A 19,446-nucleotide genomic window follows, 5' to 3' on the forward strand; every position below is an offset into this window, starting at 1 on the left:
GAGTCTGAGGCAGGGCCCCCAAGAATCAAAGCTGCCTCAGATTCAGGTCTGTTCAGCTTTGACAGTGTTCCCATCATCACTGGACAAGGGACAAGAACAGTCTCATCCAGTCTGAGGTTAGCCCAAGCCAGGTCTCAGCTAAGAGCTGACACCCTAAACCCTTGTCTCTTGGGTTCATCTTCAATATCCCTGGAAGATGTCCCCTTCCCCCCATCTTACTCTCATAGACCTAAGTAATCAAAAGTAGAATGGGTAGAACAGAGGGGCCAGAACCAGCACATGGATGAATATACTTCCTTTATCGAGGGTGACAAACCAAAACAAAAAAAGACCAAACATGTAAAAACCCAGGGTTCTAGAAATACAAACTCAATTCATTCAAATTCAAGCTCATCCAGACCCTGGTCACAAACCCTAGTGAGGTGCATGTGAGCACCAAGTCAGGGAGAGGGGGCAGGAGTGACTCTGAGGCCAACAGAGAGGGTGGGAAGGGGATCTCCCTAGGTCCCCTGGTGATCACCCCCCACCCAAACTGGTATCTCCACATTCTCAATGACTATGAAGACATACCAGGCTCTGTCCTTTTGGCCCCCACCCCATCCCTGGCCAGAGCTTCAAAGGCCAGTCCCAAAAGGTTCTACCCTCACTTGCTCAGGCTTCTAGCCTTCCTCTTCTCCTCCTTCTTCACATTTTTCTCTGTGATTAGTAGCAGGTTAGGGTACTGTATAAGCCGCAGTGAGGCTGGGGGCCAAGGGGGTGGGGTAGAGATGGGATGAAGAGAGGAGAAGAGCTGTCCAAGGACCCCTCTCTTCATGGGATCCCAAACTGTACAACCAGCTCCTCTTTTGCGTCCACACGGATCTGAGAAAGTGCACTGTAGGCATAAGCAGCTATCCTGGAGACCTGAGACAGAGAGGGGCCGGGGAGGAGAGGAACAGAGACAGGTGAGGAGGGCAATCAGGAAAAATGGGGAGGGGAGATTAGATGGTGATGGAGAAGGAGGGAATGAAGGGGAACAGGAAGGCAAAGAGAAAGACAGGGATGGGAGAGACAGAAGGAAAAGAACAAAGGGGAGTGAAACAATAAAGGTTGCAGGAAGGAGATAGGAAAGACATAAAAAGTTAAGAGAACGAGGTGGGAGGGAGCTGGGGCCTACAAGGCTACCAGGCTCCCTAACTCCACCTTCCCTACCTCCTCTGAGGCAGAGTGGGTGAACCCTCTGCCATACCCTGGGCAGTGTGAGAAGGGTGGGCAGGGGCAGGTGAGGGGTGTCTCACCTGCTGCAAATCAGAGAACGGGATGGGCTCACTGGCCAGCACTTGGTGGGGCTGGCTGGTAAGAGACGGCAGCGGTGGCAGCTTCTTCCAATGGGTCAGGCTGCTGCTCAGCACAGCCAAGCGGGTGCTGACCAAGAGAGAGGGGGTGGGGGTAGGCAGTTAAGCCACAGTCTGCCCTGCCCAGCCCAGGTAAGCCTCATCCCCTCAGGCCAGAGAAGCAGGGTGTCGAGGAGGGGTATCTGGGAGGGAAGGTCTCAGCTCATCACAGACTCAATCTAGGCCCATCTCCCTTGGCCTCAGCGCCCTCAAGAGTGTCACAGGGTAAACAGGGCTGACATGAATAACTACTGAAGCACCCAAGTGATCTGTGGTCAGTCTCCAGGGCTGCACCAAATGAGAAGCTTGGACTAGGGGCCAGGCTCCAAAGCTGGAACAGTGATGGAGGGTGGGAGCCCAAGTAGCCTGAGGGACCCACGCTGGCCAGGTGCTCACCTGTACTGCCTGGCACGGTCCATGTACTCATGCTGCTCCATGCCCTGTGAGTCTGCAGCAGACACATCAATGATGTTGCTATGGGGAGAGGAGACAGAGATGACATGACAGGTGCTTCCGAGAAGGACAAACAGGACTCAGTGCCAGGTACCAACTCCAGGGCTATCTGACACCAGTTTCCCTCCTGCCTACTGGAGCAGGGCTGGACATGGAGGCACCTCTCCCCAGTGACCTTGTCCCATCCCCCATGTCCTGAGCCTGGCTCCTTCTATCCTAGCCTTTAATATGGATAGAGGAGCTCTGACCCAGGCCTGGTCCTCTGACACTTACCTGGCTGTCTTGGCAAGGATGGAAGAGAGCAGGGCCTGCTCATCAGTGCGAGCGGAAGGCAGGCTGTGGTAGTTGGGCTCGGCTCCATTGAGAGCTTTGGTAGGGGGGCTGCTAGGGTCCAGCAGCAGCTTCCGCTCCTCTCGGTCCTAGAAGTGGTCATGGGAGAGAAGTCAGCCCCAGGACCCGTAGATCCTGCCTTTCACGGGTGCTACCCTTAGCCCAGCTCTGACCTTAAACACCAAAAATGTTTCTATAAGGAATATCTAAAGTGCCCAGCTTTATGGAATGCCAGATAAGACTCAGTTCCTGCCTATCCTTGGGAGCTCAACTGAGTTGGTGTTCTAGGATAAATGAGAGTGGAACCAGGCAGTCCTAGAGGCCCTGAAAAAATGGACAGAGGCACAAAGCAGGTAGTCAGCAACAGCCCTGGAGCTTGAAAAACATTCTAGGACCTGGCAAAGAAAGGATACTAGAGGCTGGAAGACAGTGGAGCTGAGACATAGCAAGCACTGGGATCTAAAGGGGAAATCAGTGCAAGTCAAGAGCCCAAGAACAGCCTTCCTCATCCCCTAGGACCAGGCCTTCCCCAGCAAAGCTGTTCGCTTCCAAGATGGAAGCCCTGGCGAGTCCAGACAAAGCCCTAGGCCCCAAGAGAAAGCAAGCCCAACCTCTCCATGGCCATTTCTCAAATTATGTCAGGGCAGGAATCCCAGCCCAGCTCTGGGTCACACAGTACAAGTGTGTTCCCTTCTTGAAGGCAGGTCCCTTCGAAGGTGTTCACCCTCCTGTGCTCTGGTGCTCTTTTTGTACGTGACTCCCAGAACCAAACTGAGTGTACATGGTGTATCCTGATCTGAGCAGTACAGCTGTAGCCATGTATGGTGATTCACACCAGTAATCCCAACACTTTGGGAGCCCAAGGCAGAAGGATTGCTTGAGTCCAGGAGTTTGAGACCAGCCTGGGCAACAAAGCAAGACCTCGTCTTTGCAAAAAAAAAAAATTAGCTGGACTTGGTAGTGTGAGCCCTGCAGTCCCACCTACTTGGGAGGCTGAAGTGCAACGACTGTATGAACCCAGGGTTTGAGGCTGCAGTGAGCTAGGACTGTGCCACTGTACTCCAGTCTGGGCAAGAGAGCAAGACCCCATCTCAAAACAAACAACAATGGCGCTGTTCCCTCCCTTGCTAAACCACCTGAGTAGCCCATGTAAATTTTCAGCAGCCCTGTTCCTGCTGGCCTGTGCTGATAATCACAACCCCTGAACTAATGTAAGACCAAACCAAGCTTCCTCATTGGTTTGGTCTTCCTCCTTGTCCTCTTTCAGTCCCCTGTTCTATCTACTGTAATATTTCTGGATTTGACCCTGCCTTGAGACCATCAGCTGCAAATCCTTGCTTGCTGTATCAGCAGTAAATGAGAAAAACAGACCTGCTGGGTATCTATCCAACCCATAAAGAGCAAGAGTGCCCTGAACAAAGCCAAGGATGGGCCCAGGGGGACATCCTGGCTAATGCTGACTCACCAACCTTCAGTGCCAGACTCCTCAATGCTCCCCTCCAGGCCTATCTCAGTTCCTCAGTCTTTCCTGCTGCAGGCCGCAGCTCCCCTGCCCACAACTCCACAACTCTCCTTGTAGAGGGCTACTTCCTCCTGCCCTGCTTAGGGAGGCCCAGCCTTTTCACCTTACTCTTCTTTCTCAAGGCTAGGTTGCCCAAGTGTCCTCAGGCAATTTGATCCAGTTCCCAACAGCAAGAGACAGAAGCTGTGGGCTTTGCCCCATCACCTCTATAAACTCCCAGACACCCTTCCTCCCTAAATACATAGGCTCAGTATTAAAGAGCTAAAAAGACAAAATGTTTGCCAAAGATAAAACTATGTATTTCTAAGGAAAGCTGGCTCCATAATGAGGCCCAAGTTAGCTTCCTATGTGTCTGTCCTCCCAGCTCCACTTCAGACAGATCTTCCTGCAGGACAGGGTAGTCTCTTCCCTATCAGGGGTTCTTCAAGAAGAAGGTTGGCTGATCACTTCTCAGCCTTCAGCTAAGATCAAGTGAACAACAAGGTTATTTTCTTGAAACCCAGACTTAAAGAAGAGGCCATGCTACCTACTTCAGAGCAGACAAACATCACCCCACTCCCAAAGTGCGAGTGGAGCATGGGTTAGGTTTGTCACATCAAGGTTTGTCTCTGCATTAGTGTAACCCAAGAGGCAGGGTTTCACTGTCTACCTTAGCACAGACATAGCAGCCTGCCCGTGACTGGCCACCTGGTCTAGGGGCATGGCTGAGACAGCTTGGCCCCATGGATAAAGTACATGGCCTAGCGTCAGAACACCTGGGCACTAGCACTTCTCAGCTTGGCCAAATCACTTAGCTTCTCTGAACTTCTTCCTCACCTTTCAATAGACATAACCCACACTAATATGACGGATGTCTGGCAAGAGTCAAATTAGATAACTGTGAAGGCCCTTTGTAAACTGTAACGTGTTGTATATTTTTTATTATGATAAAGAGACAGAGATGAGAGTCGGAGAGGGGCCTGCCCAAGAACTCAAAGAGGGACTGTGGGATGGTGGATGGTTATGGCCCTTGCTACATGAGGCCTCAAATCACCCAGCAGTGATTAAGCACCTTCTCTGGGTGTTAGGAACAGAAATGAGAGCCCCCCAAGGAGAAGGTAGAGATTCAGGAGAGCAGCAGGCCCAGCTCTCCCTTCCAAGTAGAAGCTTGTATCCTTTCTCATACGGCATTAATCCTTCTTGACTCATTCCCTGCAAGAGTCCATATTATGCTTTAAGGGACAATTTCCCACTAGGCTACAGCTCTCCCAGTAGGCAGGGTTATTGTTGTCTCTTTCTCAAAAAGGTGGAAGTGAAGTGAGAGGTATTAGGCACAACACATGCCTAACACAGGGCAAAGGAAATATGTGTTCATTGGGTGTATGGAGAATTGAGAACCAGAAGCCACCCTTGCTTCCCATACAAACGACATTTTCCTAGGCTTAAGCCCTTAATCCAAAATACGTTCACTGAAGAACGAACTACTTCCCAAGTACCAGTGATATAATCTATTTTTGTGACCATCTTCCCCATTAGACCGTGAGCTACCTGAAACCTTTCTACTCTCTCAGGTCTACTATATGTTCAAATGTAGAATCCGGGCTTAGAGACGATCAAAAAAGGAGAGTAGACAGCAACTTGAGACTTCATCCTTGAATGTCAGGCCAGGCAGGGCAGGGATTAGAGTGTGGGGAGAAGTGAGAATGCACTAAGAGGAAGAGGGAGAATTTAAAACTGTACAGGTCTCCCCAGCCTAACCCTTTCTCCAAAGGTATCAGATCTACAGCCAAATTCTCAGAATAGGCATGTCTCCAGCTAAAGGAACCCTCAGGCCCCAGGCAGACTGCACTGAGGCAAGCCAAACTCAGAACCAAATGAACTTCCCGCTCCATTTCTCTTTTCCCACAATCTAGCCAAAGCTAAATCCTCTTTGTTGCTTCCCAGACAATTTCCCACATGTCCCGATGTCCTCACTGTATCGATTAAATCCTTCATTGGCCAATTCAAAGGCCACCAACTTCCAGAGTCGTCCCCTGGCCCTAGACTAGCAGCGACCTTCCTTCTGCAACCCCAGGGACTAAGACGATACACGAATTCCTGATTCATCTCAGGACAGACTAACTCAGGGCCTCAGCTTACCCACCCCTAAAATGGATTCGCAAAGCCCACTAATACACAGAAGACACAGGAAGCTGGGGAAGGGAGTGTTTCCCGGGGACCTAGACTGAGGATCCTTGAATCTGAAAAGTTTTGAAGGTAGGAGCAAACGGAAGTGGTGGGAGCGAGCCGGACAGGCGGCTGCCTGCACACCCCGAGGCGGGGACTGTGTAGAAATCTGGGGCTTTAACAGGGGTAGGAGCCCGGCTTGGCGTCTCCTCTGTAATCTGTCCCCTCCAGGCCTCCGTATTCAGTGAGCCCTGCAGTCCGGCTGCCCGTCCTCCGCAGGTTTCTTTCTGGGCCCCATGCCCCAGTGTCTTAGCCCTCATTCCCGAGCCCCGCCTGCCGCGGCCGCACCTGGTCCGAGTCCTCGTTCTCGCTGCTGTAGCAGCACCCCATGGCCGGGGTCGGGCCGGGCGCTCAGGCCGCGCCGAGGAGGGACGGCGTCCGTGAGGAGCCCTTCCGGTCACATGACCCGCGGCGGCCTCCCGCAGGCAACCACCCGCCCCCACCCCCCGTACCCCCTGTCCCGGAGCCGCTTGGCCGCCTCAGTCAATACCCCGGCTTCCGGTCCCGCCCGCTAGCGCGTGATCGTTGTCAACCAATGGGAAGGCGTAACCGTACACGCAAGCACGTGATGCGGGGAAAGGGCGGGGCGGATCACATGACTTCATCTTTCCAGTCTCTAAACTGGCAGTAGTGGCCATCGTGAATTGTGTTATGCGTTCTCGTGGCCACTAGGCCACTTTTCTGGGCCATTGAGCGAACTCGTACCAAATGCCCTCGTATGCCCTTGTGATATACTCTTCTAAATGCCATGCGAGGGGCGACTGGGATCCAGGCCTGATGCTCCAGATCGTACGGTCTGGGTGCACACACACAGATGATCCAGATGACCAGTACCTAGTCGGGGAACACAGAGGGTGTATCGCCCAGCTGGGCTGGGGGTGAATACACAGAGGGTGTATTCTCCACCTGGGCTGGGGATCTGCGACTTACAGGAAGAAGGGACCTTATACTACCTTCACATGCTGACGCGCAGCGGAGATAAATCCTGGTAGAGGAGATAGAAGCCACCTCACTGACCTCTCTGCTTTCAGGCTTTTATCTTTAATTCTGCCTTTTTTAACAGCACCCATTGTAATCGAACGCACAAAGCTGACCATCAGTTCTCTTTTCCTAACCCCCGCTCCATGTCTTCCCTTGGGCCCTGAACACAGGTCCAAGTCCGTCCAAGATTGTATAGTGATCCATTTGTTGTTCATGAGCGTGTGATTGGGTGTTCACCAGCATGTATCAAATGTGCCACCCTCAAATCTTGTTTTGGCACATTACCCGTCTGACATAACAAGAGCCTGACACCTCTCCCACTGCATGTTCTGGGGTGAGGGGTGGAGGGGTCAGCAATGTGTTTCACTGGACATAGAGAAATAATGTAGTTTCCTGATTGATCTACTGGACTTTGTACATGCAGCCTGGTCTGCCTACTGTCTTTACTGTCTTCGAGACTCAGTACAATGTCCTCCTGATTACCTTCTCTGACTCCATTCTCTGGACATGCCCAGCTCCCTATGCTTAATCCTCATCCAGTGTTAATTCATGCATTTATTGAATCAACAAATATTTGCTGAGCGTCTACTATGTGCCACACATTGTTATATCTGGATATGCAGCAGTTCACAAAACAGCCAAAGTCCCTGTAGTCATGGAACATCCAATAGTGATCACACTATATTGTATTCTCTGTTCCTGGGTCAGTCTCACCTACCAAACTTGGGAGTTCCTGGAGCACAGTGACAGGTTCTGACTCTTCCCTGTAGCCCAAGGCATGGCCTTGCTTACAGAAAACTTGCATATCAATGAGCATGTTACAGTCACCCCATCACCTTGGCTCACCCCATGCCCCATCTTCTGATCCAAAGTATTGGAGAAGTCACCAGATCTCATACCTCTTATAACCCCTCAAATCAAGACCCTGAGGTTCTGTAAATCTTTTGAGGTTCCTGAAGGGTAGGAGGCAGCTCAAGCTCGTCCCTGGGGCTGGTAACTTGAACTGCAGGTCTCAGGTGACAGCAGCAGCCTCAGCATGAATAATTGAAAGCCATTCCAGCCTCCTACCTCAGGGTTATCCCCCGCAGCAGGCCCTGGACTCCCCGACCTGTCCTGTGCTCTGGTCCTCCAGCCCAGGTAAGCAGGGCCCTGGATTGTGGGTTCCCAAGCTCACCAGTTCAAGCCCACCGCATCACTCACCTATTCACACCCATCCATACACTCTTTCATTTTTACTCCCCGCCATCACCAGGGGCCTTGCAAGAAGGCCGGCAAGGAGGTCAGATCTGGATGAGGAGGAGAATGGTCCAGGACATGGGAGGAGAGGCCCATTCCCCATAGGTCCCTGGAGAGAAGAGCTGAGTAGAGGGAAAATGTGTGCTGTGTGTTATGTGTATGTACACATTTGTGAAGGGAATTCTGAGACAGCACAGGAGAAGAGGGGAATACAGCGGAGAGGAGATGGGGCTGGAGAATTATTAAAGAATCAAAGACTCCTCCCATCCTCAGGGAAGAGCAGGCAGAGGGAGAGTCCTGGGGTGGGAAAGAGGACATCTCACTCTAACACCCTATGGGGTATTTTGATTGCATTTTACTGAGGCAGGGCACAGTGATAGTGAAGGTGTTTTTGACTGCAAATCTATGCTCTTTTGCTACACAGCAGTGGTCAGAGGAGACCAGGCAGGCAGAGGGTAGGGGTGGGGGAAGATATCCCAGAGGTGAATTAGTGAAAGGGGTCCTGAAGAAGGGGTGACTTCAAGGATAAAGAGAAACAAGTCAGGGGAACAATGTGAAGATGGGACCAGGGGTTGGGACCGGGAAGAGGTGGTTTGGGGCTGGGTGCTGAAAGTAGACAGTATAGAGTCCTTGAAAGTACACAGGCTTGGAATCACACTAACCTGGATTCAAATCCCAGTTCTGCTCTGTGACTCTGGACAAAAGACTTAGCCTTTCTGAGCCGTGGTTTGTGAAATATAAGGATAATAATTGCTACTGGCAAAAGCTACACAAATAGGCAAATTGTGGGTATGGGATTCCCTCCCTACCTCCCTCCACCCCAGGGCCCAGGTAGGGACCATGTCCCCTGCCATTGCATTGGCCTTCCTGCCACTGGTGGTAACATTGCTGGTGCGGTACCGGCACTACTTCCGATTGCTGGTGCGCACGGTCTTGCTGCGAAGCCTCCGAGACTGCCTGTCAGGGCTGCGGATCGAGGAGCGGGCCTTCAGCTACGTGCTCACCCATGCCCTGCCCGGTGACCCTGGTCACATCCTCACCACCCTGGACCACTGGAGCAGCCGCTGCGAGTACTTGAGCCACATGGGGCCTGTCAAAGGTCAGTGTTCCCTAGCCTTCTGCTCCAAGAAGTACCCCCAAGACAGTGAAGGAATATTTGGGATCTGTTGCTGCTTAACTGGATGAATTGGGCAGGTTCTTGATCCTCTTTTAGGGCCTCTTTTTTTTCTCATCTGGAAATGAGGAGCTTGGACTAAGTCATTTATTCAGCAAACATTTATTGCCACCTCTTTTGTATTAGGAATGTGCTAGGTGCCAGGGAGAGGGGTAGAGGCCACAGAGATGAATGAGCCACAAATGCTGGCCTCAAAGGAACCATAATACACAGTGGAATAACCATCTCAGCAGATAACCCATAGCTTTGTAATTATCTGTCTCCACATCTTTCCTCTCCACCATGGAGGCTTCCACATACCATTTAGGGTAGCTGTCTGCCTGGATTTATCTCAATCCCAGCATAAGTGCTTTTAGGGTCTTATTTAAGAAATTCGGCTGTGTGGTGGCTGGTGCCTGTAATCCCAGCACTTTGAGAGGCCGAGGTGGGCAGATTGCTTGAGCTCAGGAGTTTGAGACCGGCTTGGGCAACATGGCAAAAACCCATCTCTACAAAAAATACAAAAATTACCCAGGCATGGTGGCACATGCCTGTGGTCCCAGCTACTTGGGAGGCTGAGGTGGGAGGATTGCTTGAGCCCAGGAGGCTGAGGCTGCAGTGAGCTGTGATTGTGCCACTGCACTCCAGCATGGGTGACAGAGCAAGAACCTGTCTCAAAAAAAAAAAAAAAAAGAAAAAGAAAAGAAAAGAAATTCACTGGCTGGGCATGGTGGCTCATGCCTGTAATCCCAGCACTTTGGGAGGCCAAAGCAGGAGGATCACTTGAGCCCAGGAGTTCGAGACTAGCCTGGGTAACAAAGCAAGACCCCCGTTTCTACAAAAAATTTAAAAATTAGCCGGGTGTGGTGGTGAGTAACTGTGGTTCCAGCTACTGGAAATGCTGAGGTGGGAGGATTGCCTGAGCCTGGGTGGTCAAGGCTGCAGTGAGCCGTGATCATGCTACTGCACTCCAGCCTGGGCAACACAGCAAGACTTGGTCTCAAAAATAAATAAATAAAAGTTCATCCAATTCCAAGATCAGAAATACATTTGATGAGCAATAAAAGGGGAATGAAACTACAAATTCTAACAGAGACCTTTCATAAATCTGAAAGATAGGGTGGTTGTTTCTGCCTGGGACTTCATGGAGAAAGAGCAACATTTGAACTGAATCTGGAAGTTCTGAGTTGGCCAGGCAGATGGCGATGGGGGTGGGAAGGGCAAAGCCAGCCACATATACACATGTGGCATGAAGGAATGAGACAGCTTGATGGATTCTGGGCACAGTTGTTTGGGATGGCTGTGATACAGGCCACAGGTGGGAAGTACTGAGAGATGAACCTGGAAAGGTAGGATAGGATCAGGTCCAAGGTCCTGAATGCCAGGCTGAGAATCCCAAGTTCAATCCCAAAGGCCTTCAGCTCACAGGAGCCAAGGAGTAATAAGGTCAGATTTGTTGGAAAGATTCCAGGGCTGGTGTGAAGACTACACTGTAGGAGACGGGGACCAGGAGGGCAGCTGGGGCTATGGTACAAGAGACAGATGAGACCCCGGCTGGTTGGGAGCTGCAGTGAGGCAGGTAGGCATTTGAGATATCTTTTATCAGGGGCCCTGCATCCATCTCCCATGTCTTCTGCAACAGCCATCTCCCCTCATAGGTCAGATCCTGATGCGGCTGGTGGAGGAGAAGGCCCCTGCTTGTGTGCTGGAATTGGGAACCTACTGTGGATACTCTACCCTGCTTATTGCCCGAGCCCTGCCCCCTGGGGGTCGCCTTCTTACTGTGGAGCGGGACCCACGCACGGCAGCAGTGGCTGAAAAACTCATCCGCCTGGCCGGCTTTGATGAGCACATGGTCAGCCTCCCATCTCCCCAACCCAGATTTTTGTCACCCCAGGCCTTGCCCCCAGACATCCCTTGTGAAGGACTCCCATCTAAGGAGAAGGAAGCACCTCCACTCTGGGGACTGTGATGCTGGATGGTGTGTGAGCTCCTGCCCTCCTGTCCCAAGTCATCTGCACATTATTTTCTGCCGGATGACGAAAGAAACAGCTAAGAGGAAGGTCTCTGGAACCCAGCAAATTTGGGTCCAGCTCTTACTCTGCCTCTTGTTAGCTACGTGACCTTGAGCAAAGCATGCATCCTCTGAACCTTAGCTTCTTCAGAATGGAAATCACAATACTGATCCTGACTTCTTAGGTTCTGAGGTCAGAGGAAATGTGAGAACACTCATGGGAAGCTAAGCCAGGACCTGGCATGAAGTAAGCCAGATCCTGGTGGGGTCTTGACTGGGAGAACAATTCCCCCCACCCTCACCTCCAGCTCCCCCTATCCCCACAGGTGGAGCTCATCGTGGGCAGCTCAGAGGACGTGATCCCGTGCCTACGCACCCAGTATCAGCTGAGTCGGGCAGACCTGGTGCTCCTGGCACACCGGCCACGATGTTACCTGAGGGACCTGCAGCTGCTGGAGGCCCATGCCCTACTGCCAGCAGGTGCCACCGTGCTGGCTGACCATGTGCTCTTCCCTGGTGCACCCCGCTTCTTGCAGTATGCTAAGAGCTGTGGCCGCTACCGCTGCCGCCTCCACCACACTGGCCTTCCAGACTTCCCTGCCATCAAGGATGGAATAGCTCAGCTCACCTATGCTGGACCAGGCTGAGGTCCAGGCCCAGGGGTACTTACTGATGCCCACCCCCACCCCCACCCAAGCAGGGACCTCAAAATCCCCTCCCTTTCCTGTTTGGGGCCTTGACACACGCTGGGCTCAGGGCTAGGGAGTCTCTCTTCCCACCTCTGACCTCTTTCAGCCTCTACACTGACCTCAAGTGTCAAGTTCTATCAGGCTGCTTGGTCTCACTAGGCCCCCTCTTTCCAGAGAGAACCATGGACTGACAGCAAGAAGCCTGAGCTCCCGACCCAGCTCTGTCACTGATTTGCTGAGTGACTCCAAGGGAATCCCCACCTTGCTCTGAGATTTAATCTTCTCTCTTAACACGAAGGAAGCTGGATGGGAGAGCTCCAGGGGCCTCCCAGTTCTCGGCCTCAGAAAGCCTCCCATCCTCAGCCCATGCCATTCTGGGTGGGATCAGAGGAAGTGGCAATGAGTTAGACGCCCTGCAGGAATAGCTGGATGCAAGCTGGGCCAGAGAAAATGGCACAGAACCCTGGACCCAGGGCCAGGGATGCCCTGGCCTTCCCTAACTCTGGCCCACCTAGCCAATTAGGTGTGGCTGATGTCCCTTGAGTGCCCTCTTCCTAAAGCCCAAAAGAAGATGCTGGACTCCTCTGGGCCCCACCAACAAATAGGGAATAGACATGGGTGGAAAATCACTCCTTTGTCTTTATTAAAGAAACTTAGACCAGACCTGGCAATCAAGGGGTGAGGTACTGGCCAGGAAGGTGGAGTAGGTTTCAGGCCCTGGGGATTTCAAGTGCAGACTGATGGCCTGGGAGGGGCCAAAGAGACCAGATCCTGGCAGCAGCTGAGGAGGTGCCCAAGGGCACTTTCAGGCACTGGGGCCATCAGCTGGTTCTGTGGGCAGGGGTTGGGGGTTGGGATGCAGGGTAGTTTGGGCTGGCCTGGAATCTCCCTGAGGCCACCCTGCCTTGTCTACCTAGATCATCCACTGGTCCTGATCCTGTTCGTTGCCTTCCATGTCCACCTGGAGAGGAGGCTGGGTGTGGGTGGGGAGGGGCCTCAGCCAGCCTCAGCCCCAGATCCTGCCCCTGGCTGGATCCAGGGTTTCTGTACCCCTTGGCCATCAACTGGGTCAGGAGCAAGGGTCCAGGAACAGAGGCCCTCCCCCATACCCCTTGCCTACCTCATTGACCTCTCCATCATCCGGTGACTCATTGTAGTCATTCATCTCGTCCATGTCCTGCATATCCTCATCATCCTCTGAGTCCTCTTCACTATCCTCATCATCTTCATCATCCTCTTCTTCCTCGTCATCATAGTGCTGGTGGGCAGGACAGAGCCTGTAAGCCCTACAGGCCTGCATGGACCAGTTCAAGAACTGACCCACTTGAGCCTCTCTCTAGGGCCAATGAATGACCCCCTACCCCGACACTCCCTCCTTGAGTCTAGCAGGCTGGTGCATGTTCTGCAGGACCTTAATGCTAGGCCCAATGCCCACCCCTTCTATCTCCCCTTTTAGGCTTTTACCCAGATCTGAGAACCACAACTGCTCTGGGTCAGAGACAGGACATTCAGAATTAGAGCAGAGCCTCGGTCCACTGCGGCCCCCACACAGGCCCCACCTGCTAGAGCCACTCACCTCTGAGGCTGGCTTGCCAATAGGAACCAGGTTGTTGTCTTTCTCCGCGATGCTTTGGAGCTGTGGGCAAAGGCACAGAGGAACAAGGCCAGAGCCCAAGTAGGGCAGGTCAGGGGCATGGGACTGGCCCATTCTGCCCAGAAGACAACCCACACGTGTTGGGGAGAAGCTTCCTCCCAGTTCTCAGGGAGATACAATCCCTTTCTTGTCATCTGCCATTTATGAACTTGATCCAAATACTTAAACTCTCTGAGCCTTCTTTTTTTTGTATAATTATGGTGAGGATGAAGTGAGAGACTTATCAGCCTAGAAAGCATCATCTGCTAGATCCTCAATTAATAGTCAAAATTATTTCCTGTGCTTTAGGGAAAAGAGCTTGGGCTGAGTGTCAGCAGCCTGGGCTCTAATCTGGCCCAGAAGTCACATGGTACCCCTGTAAAATAGGGTACCACAAGATGAGAACCTTGGCTCCCTGGCTCCCAGCCCGATTATTCCCAGCTCAGGGCAAAAAGCTCTTCCTGGGTAGATTTCTGGAGTAAGGCTGGGTCATGGCCCACTGAAGGAGGTCTCTGTCTGTGCTGAGGTCTCTGTGCTGTGCTAGCTGCTCACTCACCCAGGCCTGATGCTGCTGTTCCTGCTGCTGCAGCTCTGTCTCTTCCACACAGGGTCGATCCAGATTAAACCACAGAGTCTCAGTCACACGAGGGAAGAGTGAGGGGAACAAAGTGGACATGGCTCCTAGACTGAGGGAAAGGGTCAAGTGAATGTGTTTTGCTTTGTTTTTGTTTTTAATTTGGTTGTAATTTGATTTAGGGATAGGGTGGAAGACAGCAGGAAAGCAGCCCCTCCCCCTAGGAATCAGACAGACCTGGCTTTGAGTCCTGGCTCCACCACTTACTAGCTGTTTGACCTTGGCTGAGTCACTTAACCTCTCTGAGCCTCAGTGTCTTCATCTGTAAAATGGGGATAATAACAATTATACCACTGTCAAAGTTATTCTGATAATTAAGTAAATAATGGATCAACAAAGCTGTTTGCAGGCTGTTCAAGGAGGGATGAGAATGGGAGTCAAGTGTAGGGATAGGAATCCAGAATGCAGACTGGCATTATGAAATTATACAAAATTAGAGGTAGCAGGGTTCTACTGAAACTATCCCTACCTCCTCCACACACTAAAACCTGCTTTTTGACCCTTTATGATGGCCCATACCACACCCACCCAGTGTCAGAAATTTAGGACACTAACGACCTCTCATGAATCACAGCCAAATGTCGGGGTGGAGGGATTGTAGCATATGCAAGCAGGGTTCAGTAAGACATTCTAGGAGGCATGAATAAGTGGATAAATAAGTAGATGGAAGATTGAATGGATGAACTAACATTATAAGGGTACAATCAGCTTTGAGCGGCTGAGGGAGCCGACCAGGAGTGCCAGATAATCTGAATTAAACTTAGGACAGGCGAACTGAGGCCCAGCGACAGGCAGAGACTGGCTTTAGGTCATACAGTGTGTCGGGGCTTAGAATTCCTCCGTGAAAGGGATGAGCAGGAGAAAATAATCGATGCCTGGTCCTGCTTTTGTCTTAATTTATCTGACCGACCCAGGGCCAGCCGCTGCCCTTCCCTGTATCTCAGATTCCCAACCCGCGTAATTAGGCACGACGGTAAACACCCTCATGTCCAAGAAGTACTGACAGACCAGCGATCTCGGCTCCGAAAGCCCAACCCACCGTCGCAAAGCCACCGCCCTTTCTTTGCTCATTACGATAATGACCATGCAGTTGACCAACAGAAAGAAAGCAGGGCGGGTCTCAGACAGAAATTTGGCCTTATAGGGTTGCTAAACGCGAAAAAAGCGGGGCCTGGGTAGGACCAATTAACTGAAAGAAATGCTGGGTGACAGGAAGTGACACCAATGAATGACGGACCTTGTGTGACGGGGTGGGGCTTAGTCTCGAGGAAGCGGCCAATGAGCTGGAGCTCTTTAAGGGTTAAGGACTCTCAATATGGAGCTCCTGGGGAGTCGGGTCAAAGGAAATGGGTTTCTCTGGGGGAAAAAGGAATGAAGGGGCAAGGAGACGGTTGCAGCCTTGCGTCTGTACTTACCGCGCCGGGAGGCTGCTGCCGGCGGCGACCCGGAAGCGCTTCACCCAGCCTGAGCGGAAGAACCCACCAGAATCCGGGACTCACCAAACGCATGCGTCCTTCGTCTCCTTTTGTTTTCCCCGCTCCCGCCCACTAAACCGGATGTGACGTTGACCTACCTTAGTCACATTGTTAGGGAAGGAAGTGTGCCGCGCCTACCTATCTGCCCCGCCTTGAGTCTCAGCCAGTCGGCGTCTCCATCCTGGCGCCAGCACTACGGTCTCGTTTAACCACTGCCCCGTTTAACCCCTGCCCTTTTGTTGCCAGTCACCATTTGCTTGTTAACCCCTTCTGAAGAAGAGCTGACAGCAACCTTTTAGTGCGAGGGCCATTCGTCCTGCTGCATCCCAGAAAACTAATCTGTTACTACTTCAGAATTGCTGGTTGATGTTAGGCCCCTCCTATCTGTGCTCTCTCAGCTACAGTTTCCCGTTTGAGCATATTCATTCTTTTTTATTTTTGCTCTGAACAAAAATATTAGAGTTACAATATTACTATATTCCAGGCCTTGCTAGAAACTGGGGATAAATCTAGGAATATGGTCGCTTCCCTGGAAGACCTCACAGTCCAGGGAAGCCAAACCCTGCAGACATGCAGTAGACTTAGTGGTCTCTCTTAAGGTTGCTTGTTGAGTTTTGACATTGGAGATTATGTACAGACTTGAATGACTAGTTAGCCTCAGGCACAGCATTCTGTTGCTGGGGGAATCAGCTGCCCTCCTCAGGCCTGGGCCAAGTACACTTAGAGATCGCCCTCGTCACCTCTCCCATCCTTTGCTGATGCCTCTGTTCTAGTAACCTCTGACTCAGCTTCGCCTTTAGAGATACTCATGCTTTCTGGCAACAGAGGTCCTTCAAACCCAATTCCTATTAAACTCCATCACTTACCAGCCTCTTTCAGGGACAGCAGTTATCCGCATTTCCAGTACTGTCCTGGCCAGATGTGTGAGTTTTGGCAATTCCTTTTCCTCTCTCTGGACTCAGCTTCTTTGTCAACCAGCATCATAATCTCTGCCCAGCCTTCCTTCTATCCTGGGCTGATGTGAAGATTGGATAAGAATTGTTCAAGAGGTCGTGTACTGTGCATATTGAATGTGATTATATTGCCAAATAGCACTGTTTGTTATAGTTTTTCATTAAAGAGTAAACTTTGCCTCTTGGAAATGACTACCTTTTTCATTCATTCAACAAATACCTACTGAGTGCCTTAGTATATGTCCATCACTATTCTTAGTAGTGGGTATACAATAGTAAACAAAACAGACCAAAAAAGTCCCTCTTTTCATGCAGCCTTCATTCTGAGAGAGGTAAACAATAAAGAAGATAGATAAATAAAATATGTAGTTGTAAGATTGCAGTAAATAAGAGAAAAAATAAATCTGAGAAGTGGGAATAAAATATTTGCAGGGGAGGTGTTTTATTTCAGACTGGGGGGCCAAAGTCACTGGGAAGGTGACTTTTGAGTAAAGGTCTGAAGGAGCAGAGAGCCTTCTGATATTTGTGGAAGAGCATTTCAGAGAGAGAGAATACAAGTGCAGAGGGCCTAGAATGGCTTGGGCATAGTGTCCTCTAGGGAGAGTAATAGGTAGGAGATGAGGAGTTGGGGAGCCAGTGGAGGGTTGTGAGCACAGGGTCCACACAATCTGATTTACAGTTTAACTGAGTTACTCTGGCTGTTCTCCAAATAGACTGGGGTAGGGGAGACAATGGCAGAAGCAGGGAGACCATTTGGGAGCCTATTATGATAATCTAGAGGTAGTGGATGAGAAGTGGTTGAATTCTGAATTTATTTAGATGGTAGAGACTACAAGGTTTGCTAACAGATGGACAATGCCAGAATAAGAAAGGAGCCACGATTTTTGGGCTGAACGACTAGAAGATTGGTGTTGCCACTTTTTTGAGTTGGGAAGGAATGGGGAGGTGATGAGGGGTTTGGTTTTTTTTTGACAGGGAGCTTAGGTTTGAGTGTGTTGAGTCTGAGATGCCCATTAGAGTAGAGATGTTGGGGCGGCAGGAAGGCATATGAGTCTGCAGGTCAGGGCAGAGATCTGGGCTGGATAGATCATTTGGGAGTCATTGGCATGTAGATGGTGTTTAAAGTCATGAGACTGGATGAGATCACCAAGGGAGTGAATGTAGTTGGAAAATAGTTTCCTCCAATATTCAGAATTTGAGGAAACTAGGAAAAGCAGCAAACCAGATGGAGAAGGAAGGCCAAAAAGATAAGTAGAAAGCTGGGTGAGTTGATGGTATCTTGGAAGCCATGTAAAGAAAGGGTGGTAGGAGAAAATGGTTTACTGCAGCCTCATTCTGTACAAAATTGTGCTTTTGTTTATTTCCCCAACAGACCATGAGCTCCTTGAGGGCAGGGACTGAATGGTTACTATGTCCCCAGGGCCCAGCATGACCTTCTCCTGGATTCCTCATCTTCCTTCTGTGACCTGTGTCTCCATCAGTTTCTCCTCCGGCATCTTTTTCTTACAGGATTCTTACCTCAGGTACCATTTGCCCCGTCCTTCCTGATAATTCCGCCTGCTGGAAATTCCCTAGTAACAGAGTTTCTTTTCAGGGTCATCAGCCAGGCTCAGTAAGTAATGATGACTGGTTAGCTGGTGACATTTATTGAGTACCAACTGAGTGCCAGACACCTTTCTAGGCCCTGGGGACAGAGGGGAAGCAGAAATAATTCCTGCCCTAGAGAAAAATAGAGTATAGTGAGTACTAAGACAATTATAGACAATTATAGAGGAGGGTAATAAATGTTAAAATCAATGTATGTAGAGAATACATGAGAACACAGAGGAGGGATTGATGAATGGGTTCTGAACAAACTAAGTTTAGACTTTTGTTCCAGAAAAGGAAACATTTGAGTGGGCCTTGAGGGATGAGTAGGAGTTAAGCCCACTGGTAAATAAGTAGGAAAAGAGGGTGCACAAAGAGGCATATTTCATTCAAGGGCATGTTTGGAGAACATTGAGAATCTGGGCAGAACTAGATATGTGGAGTGGAGAAAGATGAGAAAGAATGATAGGGGACCCAGATAGGGAAGGTCTTTGGTGGCCCTATATGGAGTGGATGGGATGGGATCTGGGCATCTTGGGTCTCACCTTTGTCTTATTGCCGACTTGCTGGGGACCCCAGGTAGATGTCTCCCCATTCACAAGCTTCCGTGTTCTCTAACATAATATCTAACCATGTCGCCAGCTCTGATGTGAGTCCCTGGAAGGGATTCCCCTAGCTTGATCCTTTCCATTCTTAGATTTTTACATTTGCCTTATTTGTGATTTATACAAACCAGGGCCTAGGAATGGAAAGCAGGGTCAGGATGGAGATTTCTCAACAGAAATCAATAAATCCAGAGCCCAGAGGCTGAAGATGGAAACCATGATTCTATGCAGAGAATTCTCTAGGATCCAGGAAGGGCCAGAGTTGAGTGGTGTGAATTCAGTGCTAGTGAAAGCTGCTTACTCATTCCTTCCATAAACCTTGAGGAGCATGGCTGACCCTGGTAGGGGACAGGGGAGAATGTAACAGTCACAGTCACTACCTTTCATACATATGGAGGGATAGTTGGTCTCCAGAGAGTTTTCCCACTCATAGTCTCCACTTATCCTTAGCCCAGCCCTGGGGATTCTGCCTTCATTTAGCAGATGAGGAACCTGAGGCTCAGGAAAGTAAAGCGGCTTGTCTGAGTTGAAGCTACAACTCAAGAATGTCAAAATCTTGCATTGTTCCACAAATCTTCCTTATGGGCTGATATGTGCTTGCCG

The 19,446-nt window shown here is 50.6% G+C and overlaps 4 protein-coding genes and 1 pseudogene across 55 annotated transcripts in view, besides 10 other annotated features; 3 read left to right on the top strand and 2 right to left on the bottom strand.

The window, feature by feature from the left end:
• The window catches only part of LRTOMT (leucine rich transmembrane and O-methyltransferase domain containing), a 29,933-nt gene extending 16,162 nt beyond the window's left edge, over positions 1-13,771 (top strand). For 2 of the 3 annotated variants that reach the window (NM_001145309.4, NM_001145308.5), the window contains 4 exons: positions 7,953-8,001; positions 8,925-9,199; positions 10,912-11,108; positions 11,594-13,771. In NM_001145309.4, coding sequence (NP_001138781.1) covers positions 7,953-8,001; positions 8,925-9,199; positions 10,912-11,108; positions 11,594-11,914 — 842 coding nt within the window. In that variant the 3' untranslated portion in view covers positions 11,915-13,771. The remainder of the gene's footprint in view (positions 1-7,952; positions 8,002-8,924; positions 9,200-10,911; positions 11,109-11,593) is intronic. The other variant, NM_001145310.4, reaches the window with a different exon arrangement.
• LAMTOR1 (late endosomal/lysosomal adaptor, MAPK and MTOR activator 1) lies at positions 281-6,286 on the bottom strand. The gene is made up of 5 exons (NM_017907.3): positions 6,172-6,286; positions 2,100-2,245; positions 1,770-1,847; positions 1,278-1,404; positions 281-903 (listed from the first exon to the last, which is right to left on the bottom strand). Exons 1-5 carry the CDS (start codon positions 6,211-6,213, stop codon positions 811-813), a joined length of 486 nt encoding a protein of 161 aa, NP_060377.1. The 5' UTR covers positions 6,214-6,286; the 3' UTR covers positions 281-810.
• Positions 5,992-6,071: an enhancer, noted in NCBI's record as "active region_5181". NCBI's record gives its function as "activates an Ori minimal core promoter by ATAC-STARR-seq in GM12878 lymphoblastoid cells {active_cell/tissue: GM12878}" and the evidence as "EXISTENCE:reporter gene assay evidence [ECO:0000049][PMID:35858748]".
• Positions 6,172-6,441: a silencer, noted in NCBI's record as "silent region_3713". NCBI's record gives its function as "represses an Ori minimal core promoter by ATAC-STARR-seq in GM12878 lymphoblastoid cells {active_cell/tissue: GM12878}" and the evidence as "EXISTENCE:reporter gene assay evidence [ECO:0000049][PMID:35858748]".
• Positions 6,852-7,372: an enhancer, noted in NCBI's record as "H3K27ac hESC enhancer chr11:71814909-71815429 (GRCh37/hg19 assembly coordinates)". NCBI's record gives its function as "activates a minimal SCP1, AML or CMV promoter by ChIP-STARR-seq in primed H9 embryonic stem cells {active_cell/tissue: H9 hESC(primed)}" and the evidence as "EXISTENCE:reporter gene assay evidence [ECO:0000049][PMID:30033119]".
• Positions 7,063-7,159, top strand: LOC124902837 (uncharacterized; annotated as a pseudogene).
• TOMT (transmembrane O-methyltransferase) lies at positions 8,913-12,585 on the top strand. The gene is made up of 3 exons (NM_001393500.2): positions 8,913-9,199; positions 10,912-11,108; positions 11,594-12,585. Exons 1-3 carry the CDS (start codon positions 8,941-8,943, stop codon positions 11,912-11,914), a joined length of 777 nt encoding a protein of 258 aa, NP_001380429.1. The 5' UTR covers positions 8,913-8,940; the 3' UTR covers positions 11,915-12,585.
• Positions 9,361-15,769, bottom strand: ANAPC15 (anaphase promoting complex subunit 15). Of its 50 annotated transcripts, NR_171687.1 has the most exons (7): positions 15,639-15,684; positions 14,401-14,485; positions 14,146-14,270; positions 13,533-13,592; positions 13,077-13,214; positions 12,218-12,330; positions 9,361-11,864 (listed from the first exon to the last, which is right to left on the bottom strand). NR_171687.1 is itself a non-coding variant. In NM_001393428.1 (6 exons), the coding sequence occupies exons 3-6, from the start codon at positions 14,263-14,265 to the stop codon at positions 10,340-10,342; spliced, it is 573 nt and encodes a 190-aa protein (NP_001380357.1). In that variant the 5' UTR covers positions 14,266-14,275; positions 14,431-14,485; positions 15,639-15,684; the 3' UTR covers positions 9,361-10,339. The 50 variants fall into 50 exon arrangements, 46 of the variants coding, with proteins under 46 accessions (NP_001380357.1, NP_001380356.1, NP_001317250.1 ...); NM_001393428.1 differs by lacking the exon at positions 12,218-12,330 and having other exon boundaries at positions 9,361-10,594; positions 14,146-14,275; positions 14,431-14,485; NM_001393427.1 differs by lacking the exon at positions 12,218-12,330 and having other exon boundaries at positions 9,361-10,594.
• Positions 14,954-15,491: an enhancer, noted in NCBI's record as "H3K27ac hESC enhancer chr11:71823011-71823548 (GRCh37/hg19 assembly coordinates)". NCBI's record gives its function as "activates a minimal SCP1, AML or CMV promoter by ChIP-STARR-seq in naive H9 embryonic stem cells {active_cell/tissue: H9 hESC(naive)}" and the evidence as "EXISTENCE:reporter gene assay evidence [ECO:0000049][PMID:30033119]".
• Positions 15,163-15,332: an enhancer, noted in NCBI's record as "active region_5182". NCBI's record gives its function as "activates an Ori minimal core promoter by ATAC-STARR-seq in GM12878 lymphoblastoid cells {active_cell/tissue: GM12878}" and the evidence as "EXISTENCE:reporter gene assay evidence [ECO:0000049][PMID:35858748]".
• Positions 15,492-16,029: an enhancer, noted in NCBI's record as "H3K27ac hESC enhancer chr11:71823549-71824086 (GRCh37/hg19 assembly coordinates)". NCBI's record gives its function as "activates a minimal SCP1, AML or CMV promoter by ChIP-STARR-seq in naive and primed H9 embryonic stem cells {active_cell/tissue: H9 hESC(naive and primed)}" and the evidence as "EXISTENCE:reporter gene assay evidence [ECO:0000049][PMID:30033119]".
• Positions 15,503-15,562: an enhancer, noted in NCBI's record as "active region_5183". NCBI's record gives its function as "activates an Ori minimal core promoter by ATAC-STARR-seq in GM12878 lymphoblastoid cells {active_cell/tissue: GM12878}" and the evidence as "EXISTENCE:reporter gene assay evidence [ECO:0000049][PMID:35858748]".
• Positions 15,663-15,722: an enhancer, noted in NCBI's record as "active region_5184". NCBI's record gives its function as "activates an Ori minimal core promoter by ATAC-STARR-seq in GM12878 lymphoblastoid cells {active_cell/tissue: GM12878}" and the evidence as "EXISTENCE:reporter gene assay evidence [ECO:0000049][PMID:35858748]".
• Positions 15,693-15,910: a silencer, noted in NCBI's record as "fragment chr11:71823750-71823967 (GRCh37/hg19 assembly coordinates)". NCBI's record gives its function as "represses an EF-1alpha promoter that drives an FKBP-Casp9 reporter gene in an ReSE screen in phorbol 12-myristate 13-acetate-treated (for megakaryocytic differentiation) K562 erythroleukemia cells {active_cell/tissue: K562(+PMA)}" and the evidence as "EXISTENCE:reporter gene assay evidence [ECO:0000049][PMID:32094911]".
• Positions 16,030-16,567: an enhancer, noted in NCBI's record as "H3K27ac hESC enhancer chr11:71824087-71824624 (GRCh37/hg19 assembly coordinates)". NCBI's record gives its function as "activates a minimal SCP1, AML or CMV promoter by ChIP-STARR-seq in primed H9 embryonic stem cells {active_cell/tissue: H9 hESC(primed)}" and the evidence as "EXISTENCE:reporter gene assay evidence [ECO:0000049][PMID:30033119]".

Source organism: Homo sapiens, chromosome 11 (assembly GCF_000001405.40).
Source record: "Homo sapiens chromosome 11, GRCh38.p14 Primary Assembly".
NCBI lineage: Eukaryota > Metazoa > Chordata > Mammalia > Primates > Hominidae > Homo > Homo sapiens.

Bases quoted from the DNA above. Each gene is read 5' to 3' on its own strand.
- TOMT (NM_001393500.2), top strand. From the start codon at position 8,941: ATGTCCCCTGCCATTGCATTGGCCTTCCTGCCACTGGTGGTAACATTG. The intron at 9,200-10,911 runs GTCAGTGTTCCC...CTCCCCTCATAG, and splicing joins CCACATGGGGCCTGTCAAAG to GTCAGATCCTGATGCGGCTG. The intron at 11,109-11,593 runs GTCAGCCTCCCA...CTATCCCCACAG, and splicing joins CCGGCTTTGATGAGCACATG to GTGGAGCTCATCGTGGGCAG.
- ANAPC15 (NM_001393430.1), bottom strand. From the start codon at position 14,265: ATGTCCACTTTGTTCCCCTCACTCTTCCCTCGTGTGACTGAGACTCTG. The intron at 13,593-14,145 runs GTGAGTGAGCAG...CTTTGCCCACAG, and splicing joins AACAGCAGCATCAGGCCTGG to CTCCAAAGCATCGCGGAGAA. The intron at 13,215-13,532 runs GTGAGTGGCTCT...CCTGCCCACCAG, and splicing joins TTGGCAAGCCAGCCTCAGAG to CACTATGATGACGAGGAAGA.
- LAMTOR1 (NM_017907.3), bottom strand. From the start codon at position 6,213: ATGGGGTGCTGCTACAGCAGCGAGAACGAGGACTCGGACCAG. The intron at 1,405-1,769 runs GTGAGCACCTGG...TCTCTTGGTCAG, and splicing joins GACCGTGCCAGGCAGTACAG to CACCCGCTTGGCTGTGCTGA. The intron at 904-1,277 runs GTGAGACACCCC...TCTCTGTCTCAG, and splicing joins CGTTCTCTGATTTGCAGCAG to GTCTCCAGGATAGCTGCTTA.